Source organism: Homo sapiens, chromosome 9 (genome assembly GCF_000001405.40).
Source record: "Homo sapiens chromosome 9, GRCh38.p14 Primary Assembly".
Classification (NCBI taxonomy): domain Eukaryota; kingdom Metazoa; phylum Chordata; class Mammalia; order Primates; family Hominidae; genus Homo; species Homo sapiens.
Window position 1 is genome coordinate 71,859,875 of NC_000009.12, and position 15,756 is coordinate 71,875,630.

Sequence of the window (15,756 nt, forward strand, 5' to 3'; positions counted from 1 at the left end):
AAAAGAAAATATTTGGAGAAATAATGGCAGAAAACTTTCCAATTTTATTAGAAAGCAATAACCTATACATCCAAGAAGCTTAATGAATGCTCCGGAAAAAAAGCAAAGATGCCCACAAGCAGATACTTTATAGTATAAATACTGAAAGTCAAAGACAAGGAGAAGTTTTAAAATCAGCAAGAGAAAAACAATGCATCATTTACAAAGGTACTTCAATAAGATTTAAGATTAACACCTTACTTCTCATCAGAAACCATGGAAGCCAGAAGGCAATGGGAAAACATTTCATATGCTCAAAGAAAAAAGTAGGCAACCAAGAATCTTATATACAGTAAAGCTATCTTTCAAAAGCGAAGATGAAATAAATACTTTCCCAGATAAGCAAAACTGAGAATTTGTTAGCAGACTCATTTTACAATACTAAACGAAGTTCTTCAGGCTGAAATCAAGTGACCCTACAGAAATATGAATCTACGGGAACAAACAACATTGATAATTATGTAATGATGAATGCATATTTTTCCTCCTTTAATTGATTTAAAAAAGCAATTTCAAATAATATGTATATAATGGATTGTTGGGCCTATATAACATATAGAAATGTAATGTATGTGTAGTATAATAGCACATAGGAAGTGAGTAAAAACAAAGCTGTAATGGGCTAAGGAAATGACTACAGATGGTAAAGTAGTAACTATAACAATGCATTGTTGAGTTTTTAACATTAATATATTATGTAGGCATTGCCTAAAAAGTACTTTAGACCTGTTACTCAGTGAGGGTAAGTTTCAGATATTATTATCCTATTCATTACACTCCCTATCAAAACAAAACACAAAATTCAATATTGCTCACCCAAATAAAGGAATCCTCCCCTCCTCCAGCTACTTTTATTTGCTGCTCTGATAGCCAGGCTAAAAACACATTTGAGAATTACTTCTCCTTTATCTATTCTTGAGTCTTATGATTTCAGAAGTCCAGAAGCCAGTTTCTGACAGTGAAAACCAGGAGACAGCAAAGAAATAGGTTTCCCCCCTTCTTTTCTACCATAAAAAATAACACACCAACATAAAAGATACCTTTCTAAGTAGGTCAAGGAAAAAAACTCACCCATAATCCTATTGCCTCAACACAATCATTTGTTTCATTGTATTTATTTCCTTCTGTTTTTATTCCATAGACACTTACATTTTATTTTACAGAGGTGTAATCATTTATACTCTTTTTCATTTAGGATTACACTGAATACTTTAGCAAGTTTAATTATCATTTTTGACAGCACCAGATATATTTAGGGATATATAAACTATTTTCTTTTGTCTCCCTCCCTTCTGCCCATTCTATTTCCCGGGGATGGGCCTTGAAGGCTTGGAGCCCAGACTTCTAGACTTAAAAGAGCTCAAAAAGTAGCAAATTCTCACTTTGGTGAAGTAATATAGATGGCCTCTGACTTTACCAAAGTTATTAGGTGTTCAAATAGAAACACAAGTTTCATTTAAGATTCATAACATGAGAATGCTAATTATAAGTTTTGATTTATAGTCTATGAATTCACCATACATAGTGCCCCTATATTCGTAAACCTACCTGCTACCCTCTCTACTTCTTTTCTTCTTCAAAAACCAGAAGACTGAATCTACTTCAATATACTGCCTTAAGTAGTTGTTTTAGAGGAAAAAGAAATCCAAATTTTGAATTAATCAAGTACTACAGTGGCTGAAACTTGCATTTTATTAGGAGATAAAAATGATCTAAAAACAGCATTTCCCCATTTTTCTAATATAACGTCATTTTTTAAAGCACACTATTAAAACTTTTTTCTAAAAGTGTCATATTATGCAAATTTAGTACACAGCCTACAAGAGGAAACAGAGGGAGTAAAATAGTTTCATGTCCATCTGGCTTCATACGAAAAAGCCAGTTTAACAGCTTTCAGCTCACTGACATTTGTTAAGACCTTTGTACTTTCCCTAAAAAAAGAAAAAGTAAAACACACAACTCTAATGTCAAGTGGGTCATTTCCAGCATAGAGGTGTTTGCTTCCTTCCTTAGCATTACTCATTCAACTATTCAGTCAGAGGCATAATCCATTTAGAGATACGATAGACAAATGTCTTCTCCATTCTGCAAGCTCAAACTCAAAGCCTAATTCCAAGTATCGTAAGCATAAATTGTTACTTTTTTGGTTACTGGACATTTGGGGTGCACATTATCAGAATACAACATGTTATCATGTTTGAATAAATTGCCTATTTTAAAACAAAGCAACAAGCTAAAAGCTAATTCGTAGTAACTATATTGATACTTTTTTCAATGTAATTGCTTATTCTGTGTGTTACAATTTATAGTAAATCAGCTTCTGAAGTAAACACTTGTTTATTCATGTGTCTGTGGCTACCATCCTCACTAGGTTTCAACATAACTAACTGTAACTGTGCCTAGTAAAATGAATTAGTATTAAATTCTTTAAATAATCATTAACTTGAGAATTAATTGGCACAATCTACCAATTTACTATTCAATGAATAACTGACAAGGAGGAACCTACCCATTAAAAAAATACAATTGTGACTAACATTGGAGAGCAAATAAGTTTATGTCATATAATTTGAAAGGATCATTGGTATATTAATCCAGTTAAGTTTGGTAAAGAGAAGATAATGGAATACATAGTACCGTCATTGAAAACTGTAGACCTTGAGAAAATCACTTCCCTTCTTTATGTTTCTGCACCTGTAAAATAAAGGGATTAGGCTATATCATCTCTGCAGTTTTCATAATCTGAGTTTATGTGGCTTTCCATAACTGTTTATGAAAAATCACTCTTAAGATTTTGTCATGTATGTCTAAATGCAAGAATACCACTATTTACATGATAATTGCTGTCAGTCTACAATTTCTAAAATTCATTTTATAATTATTTTTGCAGAGACAGGGTCTCATTCCATTGGAGTGCATTGGCACAATCAGTTCACTGCAGCCTTCTAGTCTTGGACTCGAGTGGTCCTCCCACCTCAGACTCTTAAGTAGCTGGGATTACAGGCTTGAGCCACCTCTCCCTGCTTAAAATTCATTTTCACTTATGAAGCTCTCTTAAAGTGAACACTACCTATATATTTATAGAAATCACCGAGAAAAAAAAAATCTATGGTATATATTCATGTAGGATACAGAACTGGTAAATTTGTGTAAGAAACCTGGAAAAGTATGAAGATGACAAACTAGTTCATGAAAGTTCTTCTTCATCATTCTTTTTTGTACTTGGAGGATATGGCACAAGACCAAGGATTTGTGTTACTATCAAAATTGTACTATGTTAGTATGTACAAAAGCCAAATATCAAAACAAACAAATTGGGACCATTTTAGTCATCAGTTAAGGCTAAAAACTGATATGAGCCATTACGTGTGAGTAGGGCTGAAATTTTCACATTACATTAGAAATGTAAGGGATATTATTATTCAATTAGTTCCATTAATTTCTAGTGAGAAAACTGAGGTCCAGAAATAACTTGCCCAATGTTGCAGATCTAGTCACTGTTAGCTGACAAGAGGCCCAGATCTGACTGCCAATTTAATTCTACATCATACTGTCTTCTAAAAACCATAGGTAAGCTCTCAGGAGTAAGTAGGGGAAATCAAAATGGAATACAAAGTCTCAAACGACCTTACACACAGTACATCTAGTTCGACTTTTCATTTAAATCTGGAATTTCTTCTGTGACACCTATGACAGATGTCATTCAGCTTCTGCTCTGTCTCTAGTGATAAGATACTCATTAATGCTTAGGAAGCAATCCCTTTCCTTTATGGACAAATAGCCATAAAGTTATTTCTCATACTGAGCTTTAATCTGGTATTGTGTAATTTTCACCCAGTCCTGCTCTGAGAGCCAGATAAAATACATTGTACATGCCTCTCAAATATTTGAAGGTAGCTATTACTCCTTAGTCACATCTTTCAGCTGGTTTGGGAGTTTCAGTTTACGGTACCTTTTCCAACTTGGCAAATACCTCAGGATTTGCTCTAATTTGTAAATATCCTTTCACTGCATCCTGGAATAACATTAGTAATGTAAATGTGGTTTGAACAGCACTTTGTGTATCATTTTCCCATGATGTATTTTTCACCACTCTAAAATTAGATCAGTTTCTACACAACTGACTTACACGTTATTTCCAGCAAGCGAAAATCTCCAGATTTTTTCATCTATACTCTTGACAAGTGCTGTTTCCTTTTTCTATCAATGGCCTATTTGTTTCTAGGATAAAGACTAGGGTTCACCATGCCATCTGTAATTGTGTTCCTAATTAGCAGCCTCATGCATAGGCCAAACTTTCTTTTTTTTTTTTTTTTTTTTTTTTGAGACAGAGTCTCGCTCTGTCACCCAGGCTGGAGTGCAGTGGTGCGATCTCGGCTCACTGCAACCTCCACCTCCCGGGTTCAAGTGATTCTCCTGCCTCAGCCTCCCAAGTAGCTGGGACTACAGGCGCGTGCCACCACGCCCAGCTAACTTTTTGTGTTTTTAGTAGAGACAGGGTTTCACCGTGTTAGCCAGGATGGTCTCGATCTCCTGACCTCGTGATCCACCTGCCTCAGCCTCCCAAAGTACTGGGATTACAGACATGAGCCACCGCCCCTGGCCCAGTCTTCATATTTAACTGCACCTTCCTTCCTCTAGGCTTCCATATATTATTCATTCCCCTCAGCTAGGAATGCTTCCCCTGGGTCACCCAGGTCTACCCAATTCTTAGTTATCCTTCAAAACTTAGCTGAAATACCACTTCTCTGGGGGACTCTTCCTTGCCCTGCTCCCTATGTTCCCCTCCCAAAAGTACCTTTTACCTGTTACAATACCTTACAAATCTCCTTCAGCCCTTATCAAAATAGTAATATTTGTGCAATGAGGTGCCTGTCTCCTTAGCTATACCATGAAATCTATGAGGACACAGTCTGTCTTTACCTAGCACAGGTTTTTGCATGATTTATACATTCAGTAACTGTCTGTTGAATGAACGAACACTGAATGAATAGGATCAATATTTAGATTTCCCCAGGTAATCAAAGAAAACATTTAGCTAAGCCCTGGGTTGTATGCTGTACAAAGAAGAAACTGTATAGGTTACAAGACAATCTTGAGAAAGAAAGACCTCTCCAAAAAAGTGATGATATAATTTTAAAAATTTTCAAACTATGTCCTATAAAAACGAAGGGTAATTTTTTTTCACTCTTTCTAGTGTGGGGGTGGGGAGCATGGAAAAAGGCAAATAAGCACAGGTCAGTGGTATATTTGTTGTTTTACTGTTAATTTGACACATCTGAACCAAAGCATTCACAATACTTGATATACTTTGAAGAGAGTCATATACTATAGTCTTAAACATAACCACGGAACGAGCAGAACAATTAAAACTACATAAGGCCTTAAAATATATCCACAGTGTGTATTATTTCCATATTCATTCATTTACAAATTAGACTACATACCATTAATTTTATTTTTATTTTTCATTGTTTTATTCAGACAGGGTTCATTCAAGGAAAGGCAACTTAGTTTTTGTATGTGTGAGCTTTATTTTTTTACTATATTGGTTAATATAAAAGTTATGAATTAAACGTATTCTTATCTCCTATACCCAGGAGTGAATCCATGAAATTCTCAGATAGTAATCCAAAACAATAGGTCCTATTTTTAAAAATAGCTAAAGTGGGCCAGGCGCAGTGGCTCATGCCTGTAATTCCGACACTTTGGGAGGCCAAGGGCAGATCATGAGGTCAGGAGTTCAAGACCAGCCTGATCAACATGGCAAAACCCTGTCTCTACTAAAAATACAAAAATTAGCCAGGCGTGGTGGCAAGCATCTGTAATACCAGCTACTCAGGAGGCTGAGGCAGGAGAATCACTTGATCCCGGGAGGCAGAGGTTGCAGTGAATCAAGATCGCGCCACTGCACTCCAGCCTCAGTGACACAGCAAGACTCCATCTCAAAAAATGAAAAAAATAGCCAAAGTGAAAAGGGATCTGATAGCCAGTCTGTTAGTGGTCTTTAAGATCAACTCATGGACTTTCGGGATTTCATACAATGAAGACTACTGCAATTCTATGAAGACTATGAGATCAGTCAAAATTTAAAACATCGTATACAAAATCATTCTTGAAATCTCTAAATGCCTTTTAAGTAACCAGCATGAAAATTTTAAGTACTTGCCTCACAGTACCAAACTTAGAAGTCAAAACTAGTTAAAATTCAGTGCTATCATGACTTCTCATTTACAAGGTAACTCATTGGTAAATTAATAGATGGCATAAAAATTAAGATTTACATCTTTTTTAAAGGATAAATGTATGTAATCAGAGTATACAGAAAATTCAATGTATTTTACAATAAAATAACTTTAAACCTCTATCCCTGTACAACAGGGTTTAGGTTAATTCTAGTGAACTTGCATGGTTTTAAATCTCTTTTACAGTTCATTCCATTATGAGTACTTAAATTGCTTTAGATACATAGCTTTTTTCAAAATATTACAGTTGTATTCCAGGATAAGATTTAATATATTGAGATGTTTTAAAAATATTTATAAATTTGTTTCTAGTATGCAAAAGCATTTGGCAATACTTTTACAGCATTTGATTTTATAGAATTAAAATCTCATACAGTACTCATCTTGATGTTAAAAAAAAATTCACAGAAAAAATATAAATTACACAGCCTGACTGCACGGTACTGTTATTTCCAGTTTTTAGTTCTGGTAATTAAAACCTTCATTAAGTCTGTTAACAAATCATTACCTGTACATTTATGAAGGCAACTGACATGATTTGCAAACAAAACCTTCAGGTTTTATGTTATTTACCAAAGAGTGCAGTTCAGCAAGAAAGGAAAACCCAGTAGCAAATTTACAGAATATTTTACAAATTTACCAGTTCCTGTGACACAAACTGTTTCAACCTTTCAAGATACTGTCCATAAAGTTCCACATCATTGTGACCTGCTCCTTCAACCCAGAGAGGCTCCACAGGTCTTTGGCAACGTTCAAACAATGCGAGGCCATGTGAAAAGTCAATGACTTCATCTTCAGTCCCATGAATTATTAATACTGGAGAGGTTATCTTAGAGATTTTGTCAATGCTGCAGGGAAAAAGGAAGGGGGAAAAATGCAATAAATTAACTATGTAAAGGAACATATTCTTGTGCTATATCAGACAGATAATTCAAATATGAGAATTGTATGAATCAGTTCAGAAGGTAAGAATGTCTCCTGAATTTCCAGTAAGATTCAAAAATTGCCTTTTACATACTCCCTACCTTAAGATTATCTGAGGAAGTTATTTTCATGCACTTGTTTTGATGGTTTTGCTGGAATCACTCAATGCTCTTGTCACTCTACTGTACCTTTCTACAATGTTGACTTTTGGCACAGAGAAACTTAGGTGTCCAGAAGAAGAGAAAATTTAAGAACCATTTCAAGTATGCGCTAATTTCACTTTCTGCACTCACTATATTCTTTCTCCTAGTCTCCTACTAAAATGACAGCAAAATGTTTTATGTTTTTGTTCTTGTTTGAGGATAAAGATACAAAAACAAGGAGAATGTACTAAAATATAATAAAATGTTGGAGCTGGAAAGAAGATTAATGTGTGAAACAATTTATTAAAAGAAGAAAACACAATTTTAGGCAGATAGATGGTAAAGTGATGAACGAAACCAATTTATACAACAGAATACCCCAGAAAGCTAAGGAATTACCATGGTGATGAAGGGGGTGATTGAAATATACAGGATTTTTGCAAAGTCTGTGTAAGAAAGTTAGCCTCCCCTTCCCAGTTCCTTTTGCCTGTTCATATACCCAGAAACTGCCTGCCCCCAAGACTGGAATGTCTGTGAACTAGAAGACTGCCAGAGTTTAGAACAGAGGTATCATAGAGACAATGGAAACATATACATTTACATACTGGCTACTATGAACCCATTTTCCCTATGTGGCTCCCAGAATGCTGGTAGTCAGGCCACTGTCCTCCAGGAGGGACTTTTAGAAAGTCTTCTTTGGGCCAGGTGCGGTGGCTCATGCCTGTAATCTCGGCACTTTGGGAGGCCGTAGTGGGTGGATCACCTGAGGTCAGGAGTTCGAGACCAGCCTGATCAACATGGTGAAACCCCGTCTCTACTAAAAATACAAAAAAAAAAAAAAAAATTAGCCAGGCATGATGGCGCATGCCTGTAATCCCAGCTACTCGCGAGGCTGAGGCAGGAGAATCACTTGAACCCTGGAGGCAGAGGTTGCAGTGAGCCAAGATCACACCATTGTACTCCAGCCTGGGTGTCGCAGCGAGACTCTGTCTCAGAAAAAAAAAGAAAGAAAGAAAGAAAGAAAGAGCCTTCTTTGGAGATTATTATCAGATCAGCCCTTTAGTTGATCTGCTAAATCTTGATTGTCTGCTTATATGTAAGAGTAAAGAGTTGATCAGCTCCTTTACTTACATATAAGCAGGCAACCAAGAATTATCAGACATGAGAGGAGAACACTTCAAATAACAGAGGAATCAAAACAAACACTTTTTTAAAAGGCAACTTGGAGGACACAGAAACTACACAGACAATTCTTTTTAAGAATCTTTAGAGAAAGGTATTATAATAAACATAAAATGAAAATGGAATGTTGACAATGAAAAAACCATCAATGAAATAATCTAAGGCTGCATTTGGTAAGAATAAATACTTGGGTTTACTATCTGTTGTCAGAAAGATGTTCAGCGGTAGAGGAATTAAAACTTGAATAAAAAATAAAAAGAAGTATATTATCTTTTTCAAACAGTTTATTTTTATTTTTTGAGACAGGGTCTCGCTCTGTCGCCCAGGCTGGAGTGCAGTGGCACCATCTTGGCTCACTGCCATCTCTGTCTCCCAGGTTCAAGGGATTCTCATGCCTCAGCCTCTCGAGTAGCTGGGATTACAGGCACGCATCACCATGCCTGGCTAATTTTTGTAATTTTGGTGGAGACGGGGTTTCACCATGTTGGCCAGGCTGGTCTCGAACTCTTGGCCTCAAGTGATCCACCCGCCACGGCCTCCAAAAGTGCTGGGACTACAGGCGTGAACCACTGTGCCTGGCCAAACAGTTTATTTTTAGTGTTGCTCTCTGTTGGTGCACCAGAAATGAAAGAGGGAGCTAGATGGAGACATAAGTTGACAACAACACTGATATGGGGATACTCAGATACATCCCTATCATTTTTACCATTCAGCTAGACAGAGGCAGTATAATGCCTATACCCACATTACCTGAAACAAAAACAAACCCAAAACAAAATAAAAACCCAAACATGCCCACAGCTTGCCCTTGTGATAAGATCATGTGTTCACATACTTTCCCTACTAAAGTGATCCATTACTGGCTAATGATGAAAATTCTGTGTTTTTAAAATAATTCTTGAACCATGTGATGACTTTGCCTTTGGCCCATCGGCCATTCACAAAAAAAATCCTTTGTATTGCTGCCAATTGGAGAAAGGAGAGAAAACTAAAATTTGCCAACTTATTTCTTGTCTTCTCCTTGAGAAAAATAGGCCATTAATTTTTTCCAACTATGAAGAGTAGGTGGGAACTACCTCCTGTCTTGAGAAGCATGAAGGAAAAGTAGCTACTTTCCTTTCAAATACATCTAAGTATGTTTGCAGGTTTTGTGGCAGCAATACTTACTAATCTAGTTAATTTAAGATTCAACTTTTTTTCAATTCACTTCTTTTGTAAGTTAGGTATCATTAATCAGATATTTACTCATTTTAGCTTCTACCTGTTCTTCTCTAACATCAAGTGTCTCACTGGATGGCCCTATCCATTAGCACCTCAGGGCAGAAACATGGTAGTCATGTTCAAGTTTTTCTCTTTAGCATCCTACACCCAGTCTGATACTCAGTTCTGTCAAATTTATGTTTCAAATTAATTCCCTTGTCTCCAATACTAGTGCCACCACCTGAGGTGTAAGGCCCTCAGCAATTTTCATCTGGATTACTACTCCTCAAACATTTCAGCCTTCTGACTGGTCACCTGCTAATACCCTCTTTACAAATTAATTTTTCATAATTTCTATGTGCTAATATATATAAAATGAAGTTTATGGTTGAGTGAACTGTGTCATGAATACTTTAAATGATGAAAAAATTCCCAAGTTTCTTGGAATTTAACTATTTTGAATATTGCTACTTACTTTGGGAATGCATCAAAACAGTAGGTCTTCTTGGTATCAGGAAAGGCAACTCGCATTCCCGAAGTCAGAGGAGAATGAAGAATAACAGCAGCACTCTCATATCGAGCAGCAAGATCCACAGACGGTACTGTCCCTATACTTTGGCCATATATAATCACATTTTCAGGGCGAATGCCATATCTACAAAGTTCAGGCGTTAAAAACAAAAACCAAAAAAGTTGGAGTGATATGAAATGTTCCATCATTCCAAAGGATTTGATCTTAGAATAAGACAATGTCAACTAATCCATTTTTTAAACTTAAGTTTCTTAGCTATTACTGTTAGTTTTAACATTACAATAAAGTCTGTATCATCAGTTTATTTCATGTGTTTCTCTACTTCATCTTTTGGAAGAATAATTGCTGAGGTATTTTAAGATTTCAATCTTAAGAAATAAATTTATTAAATAATTTATTACACTATAATATTTCAACCTAGCTTACTGCTGACTAAGCTTGGGGCATATCACTAATATTTTAATGAACTGATGTTGAATGAATAGGTCATATTTATTTTCCGTTCAGTGTAACAAAAGTTATTTATTTCTCCACACATCAAGAGTGGCTCATTTTAATTTCCAAAATTGGTCATATTGATGAACTGTTACATATAGTTATGGTATGAAATGAATATATGTATGGTTTTAGTAAAGGGCAAATTATGATTTTACGATTTTTCTTAAAATTGATCTTTGCTTAGTTGTAGAAATGGACTAATGGTTGAAAAGATAAAAAAGAATTCCAAACACCACATGGTCCAATTATTTATGATTAGACTTTACGCTAAAATTACAAGGTACTATTTTAATCCCTTTAAAATGGCCACAGGTTTAAATAGATGAAAACTCATTGACTCAATAAATATTTATTGGGTACCTAGTATGTTCAAGGAACTGCTTGCTACTTGTCTACAGTATAATCATCCCAAATGTAAACTACTGCAAGTGTAAGTACAGTGCTACCTGAGCTAATGAATGTGGGCTTAAAGGTTATAGTGACATTAAATACACCTTTCCACTTAGAAGGCAGACAGCAGTCACTCTGGCAGCTAAGAACATAACAGCTGCTTTTGGAAATCTTTTGCAAAGGTAAAATATCTTTCTAAGAATCTGGATATTCACCAGGAAAGAGCGAGGGAAACTGTCCGTGTGTTCTCTTCCAGGGGCATAATACTATTTCAACTATACAGGTAGTAACACAGCTCTCCCCATATAGTTTCTTCAAGTCAGTACTACACAAGCATTTGTATAGGACACAGAAAGTGGGGCTCTGTCTACTTCAAATTGACTCTAAATATTAGCAAACTCAGAAAAGCTTTTTTCTTTACAACAGACCTAGTTGCACATATTTCATACGAATGAAGAAATTAGGAGAATGAACATTTGCAGCATGACCACAGTTCTTGAGGCTGCATTGTTGCTGTCAGCTGAATATCAGCATTGTTGGTGGCAATCATGAAATTTGGGCTACAGCTAGCAATGACAATGCTCAAGGATAGAGTCGCAGAGGTAGCTGACAATTAAGCATGAGGGGACTCACAAGAGTAACAACTGCCTAACAGTATGAGCTAGAAAGGAGTTTAGAGACCATCTAATCTAGAGTCCAGCTGCCTAATGAGCAGATCTTCAAAGTCACCAGTAGATGACAGCTCTATAATTAGAACCCAGGTATACTGACTCCCAGTTCAGTGTTTTTTACCTCTGAAGCACACAGATGAGGAACTCAAGGACTTTGTGGGAAAGGTGCATAGTGAATGCCAGGCCCCGAGTTTCTTTTGGTCCATCAGAAGGTCAGAAATTGGAGTTATTATGGATATCCAATTTTCCCAAAAAGGACATTCCAATGTTCATTCATCCCAAAAATGAACATTATTTAAGTTCATTATTTATTTTCTCTCTCCTGGTTACTTAAGTCCTAACTTTTAATCAGGCAAATAAAATAAAAGGCATGTATTCTAATTACACACATTTCATTAGATGACAGAATTCCAGAATTGGAAAAGATCTTGGGGATCATTTAATTCAATCTCTTCATTAAACAGATGAGGAAACACAGGCTCAGAGAAGTAATATTTCCTAAAGTACCTACACTTATGAAACTCCAACTATATTTTGGTTTCAACACGAAAGAAAACACAGGTCTAAAATTCTAAAATATAAGTGCTAAAATAGTATGTGGGATTATTGATGAAATCTGCCCATTCCTGATTAACACTGGCTATCAAATATGTTAAAAAAATTAAGGCTGAAAATCATTTTTCAAAGTTTTCTTCAAATTGGTAAATGCCAAGATTAAAAGAAAAGAAAAGAAAAAAACAGTAAAGTTGACCACTTAAAAAATGGGATTTTTTCATATAGACACAGAACACTGAACTGAATACTAACATGTTTTGTTTGAGTAAAGTGACCCTTTTGCGTTACTGGGAAGCACTAATAATGAAAGCTGGCTATCAGTTTTAACTTAGCACCCTTTAAAACTTCATTATTCCACTGAAGTTAACCTTTAAAAGTGTGAACCTTATCACTCAATAAAGCTATTTTTTTAATTATAATACTTTCTTATAGTTGTTATACGTTATTCAACTGACTGACTCTAAAAAGTGGGCACTCAGTTTCTGTTTGTTTTAAGGCTTGATGGAACTGATATCAATATATGTAAAAGATTTTTATTTAAAGCAGTTTTTAATTTATCAATTAAACAATAACTTTACCATCCCCCATCAACTCTTTACCTACTACTTGCCATCTTTTTTTCCTTATTCCCCATATTTATGTTTTTATATAATTTCAGTTGATTTTAAGAATCCCTTTTATGTAGAACTTCGCTATGAGAGCATAACTTTATTACATTTCTTTGGAGGGAAAAATAGTTTTAAAGATATTTTTAATATCTTTAATAATATTAACTACTTTATTATTAAAATTGAGGAAATTTTTCCTGACTAAATGAAATCTTTAATATTTAAACATTAAATTAGAAACAGTAAGTTTTCTTTATATCCTATAGCTTCAGTCTAAAACATCCTGGAAGTCAGATATTTTATTTTCATATAATATAAAGAATAGCCTATATTAAGGTATCTGTTTATTGTACACTAACCTGACTAATAATACACTGAAGTCTACCAAATTGTGATTTTTTTTTCAAGAAAAATGTTTAGGTATCTTGGTGACTAGAAAAGATTAATGCAATTTCTAGTTCCCCAAAATGTATGCTGCTATAATCAAAGAATAACTGACATAGTAAGAAAATTTTATTAAACAATTTATCATAACATTAAAACTTCTTTTTTTTTAAACAGAGTCTTACTCTGTCACTTGGGCTTGAGTGCAGTGGTGTGATCTCAGCTCACTGCAACCTCCGCCTCCCAGGTTCAAGTGATTCTCCTGCCTCAGCTTCCCGAATACCTGGGATTACAGGCACCCGCCACTGTGCCCGGCTAATTTTCGTATTTTTAGTAGAGACGGGGTTTCACCATCTTGGCCAGGCTGGTCTCGAATACCTGACCTCGTGATCTACCTGCCTTAGCCTCCCAAAGTGCTGTGATTACAGGCATGAGCCACTGCGCCCAGACATTTTTTTTTTGTATTTTTAGTAGAGATGGGGTTTCACCATGTTGGCCAGACTGGTCTCGAACTCCTGACCTTGTGATTCGCCTGCCTCAGCCTCCCAAAGTGCTAGGACTACAGGCGTGAGCCACCGCACCCAGCCTAAAAAATTTTTTTAAACTTGATATAATCTCTCCCAATTTTAGGAACACAGAATATAAAGTAAAATCTCAGTTTTACAGAATGAATACTTGAAAAATAATTCCAATAAGGTATCTTTAAGTTGTACTTCCCAAGAAGTAATCACATAAAATAATGCAAATCTTGGCTTAAGATTTTAATAGAAAGCAATCCAGCCTCATACTGTTAATGACAGATCAAGTGAATAATTAGCTATGTCAGTATTTTCTCTCATTTCCTTGAAAGGTTGCAGCTTTGAATAAACATTTTTTATATCACACTCCAATAAGAAAGCTTACAAAAACCAAACATTTGTCACTGGATTTAATTTTTTTTTTTTTTTAACTTTTTAAGAGATGAGGTCTGACGCTGTCACTCAGGCTGGAGTGCAGTGGCACGATCATAGCTCACTGCAGCCTCAAACTCCTGGCCTCAAGTGATTCCCCTGACTTTGTCTCCTAAGTAACTAGGACTATAGGCATGCACCATGGACTTCCAGCTAAGAATTTAAGTTAAAAAAAACATACATATATACGTGTATTAATGTAGACAAACAAACCTGAAACTGTCTTTAAAAACTTTGTTTTGCTATTATGTGAAATTTAAAATTGCTGTCTAAAATATTTATTCACAGGTATATAATAGTAAATATAACCTCTATATAGCAGTTATGTATAATAAAAACAGCTTTTATTCTATTCTTACACAAGATATTTTTAGCTAACCACCACGAGTATGAAAAATAAATTCCAACCACAATTTACCTTGTCCTAAGAGCAAGCCAAGCAGCTTCAATGTCTGCATAGAGGTTCTTCTCTGTGGGTTTCCCGGAACTGGCACCATATCCAGAATAATCATATGAGAATATATTACAATTAATCCGTGATCCTAGTCCTATGTAAAAGCTGCTCATTTGACCAAGATCAACAGCATTTCCATGTGAGAAGAGTAAAGTGTATTTCGCATTGGGTGAACAACGTACAAACATACAAGCAATTCTGTTGCCTTTACTGGTTCTAGTCATGAAACACTCAATAGCATCTTTTTCTCTAGAAGAATACTGCCAGTCTGCTCGTTCAGACAGATGTAAAGTCCAACGGCTTCCGCTTTCATCACACATCAGTGTGTAAGTTGGATCAGGTGGCAAAAACGCTAATTTTGAAGCAATCTTCCCTGGACAAGGTGGACAGCAGAAGAGGCAACATAGCTCACTAAATGAAAGATTATTCATGCTCTGAAAAAGAAAAGGAGATAGCAAATATTTTAATAACTGAATGTAGACTCATACAATAAAAAGTTAAAACACAGACATGGGTAAATTTTATTGGTGGTTAATGACTATTACTATTTTAGGTATGATTCCAAACAGATTTTTGGCTTCTTTTTTTTTTTTGAGACGGAGTTTCACTCTTGTTGCCCAGGCTGGAGTGCAATGGCGCAATCTCAGCTCATCATAACCTACGCCTCCCGGGTTCAAGTGGTTCTCCTGCCTCAGCCTCCTAAGTAGCTGGGATTACAGGCATGCGCCACCACACCCGGTTAATTTTGTATTTTTAGTAGAGATGGGGTTTCTCCATGTTGATCAGATTGGTCTCGAACTCCTGACCTCAGGTGATTCACCCACCTCGGCCTCCCAAAGTGCTGGGATTACAAGGAGTAAGCCACCACGCCCGGCCTTTGGCTTCTTTCTAGAAGTACTTTAAATCCTGGGGTGAGGCAAATATTCCTGACCAGCAGACAGACTCAAATCCTATATGACAGGTTTCAAATAGCAGTGATTA

The 15,756-nt window shown here is 35.8% G+C and overlaps 1 protein-coding gene across 8 annotated transcripts in view; it reads right to left on the minus strand.

Moving 5' to 3' along the window:
* Positions 1-2,577: 2,577 nt before the first annotated feature.
* Positions 2,578-15,756, minus strand: part of ABHD17B (abhydrolase domain containing 17B, depalmitoylase) — a 48,742-nt gene continuing 35,563 nt past the window's right edge. For 4 of the 8 annotated variants that reach the window (NM_016014.4, XM_006717134.4, XM_017014787.3 and 1 more), the window contains exons 2-5: positions 14,740-15,209; positions 10,209-10,388; positions 6,925-7,132; positions 2,578-2,733 (exon numbers count right to left, since the gene is read on the minus strand). In NM_016014.4, coding sequence (NP_057098.2) covers positions 2,707-2,733; positions 6,925-7,132; positions 10,209-10,388; positions 14,740-15,206 — 882 coding nt within the window. In that variant the 5' untranslated portion in view covers positions 15,207-15,209 and the 3' untranslated portion in view covers positions 2,578-2,706. Of the gene's footprint in view, positions 2,734-5,277; positions 7,133-10,208; positions 10,389-14,739; positions 15,210-15,756 lie in introns of those variants that run through there. The other 4 variants (NM_001025780.3, XM_017014788.3, XM_017014789.3 and 1 more) reach the window with 2 other exon arrangements.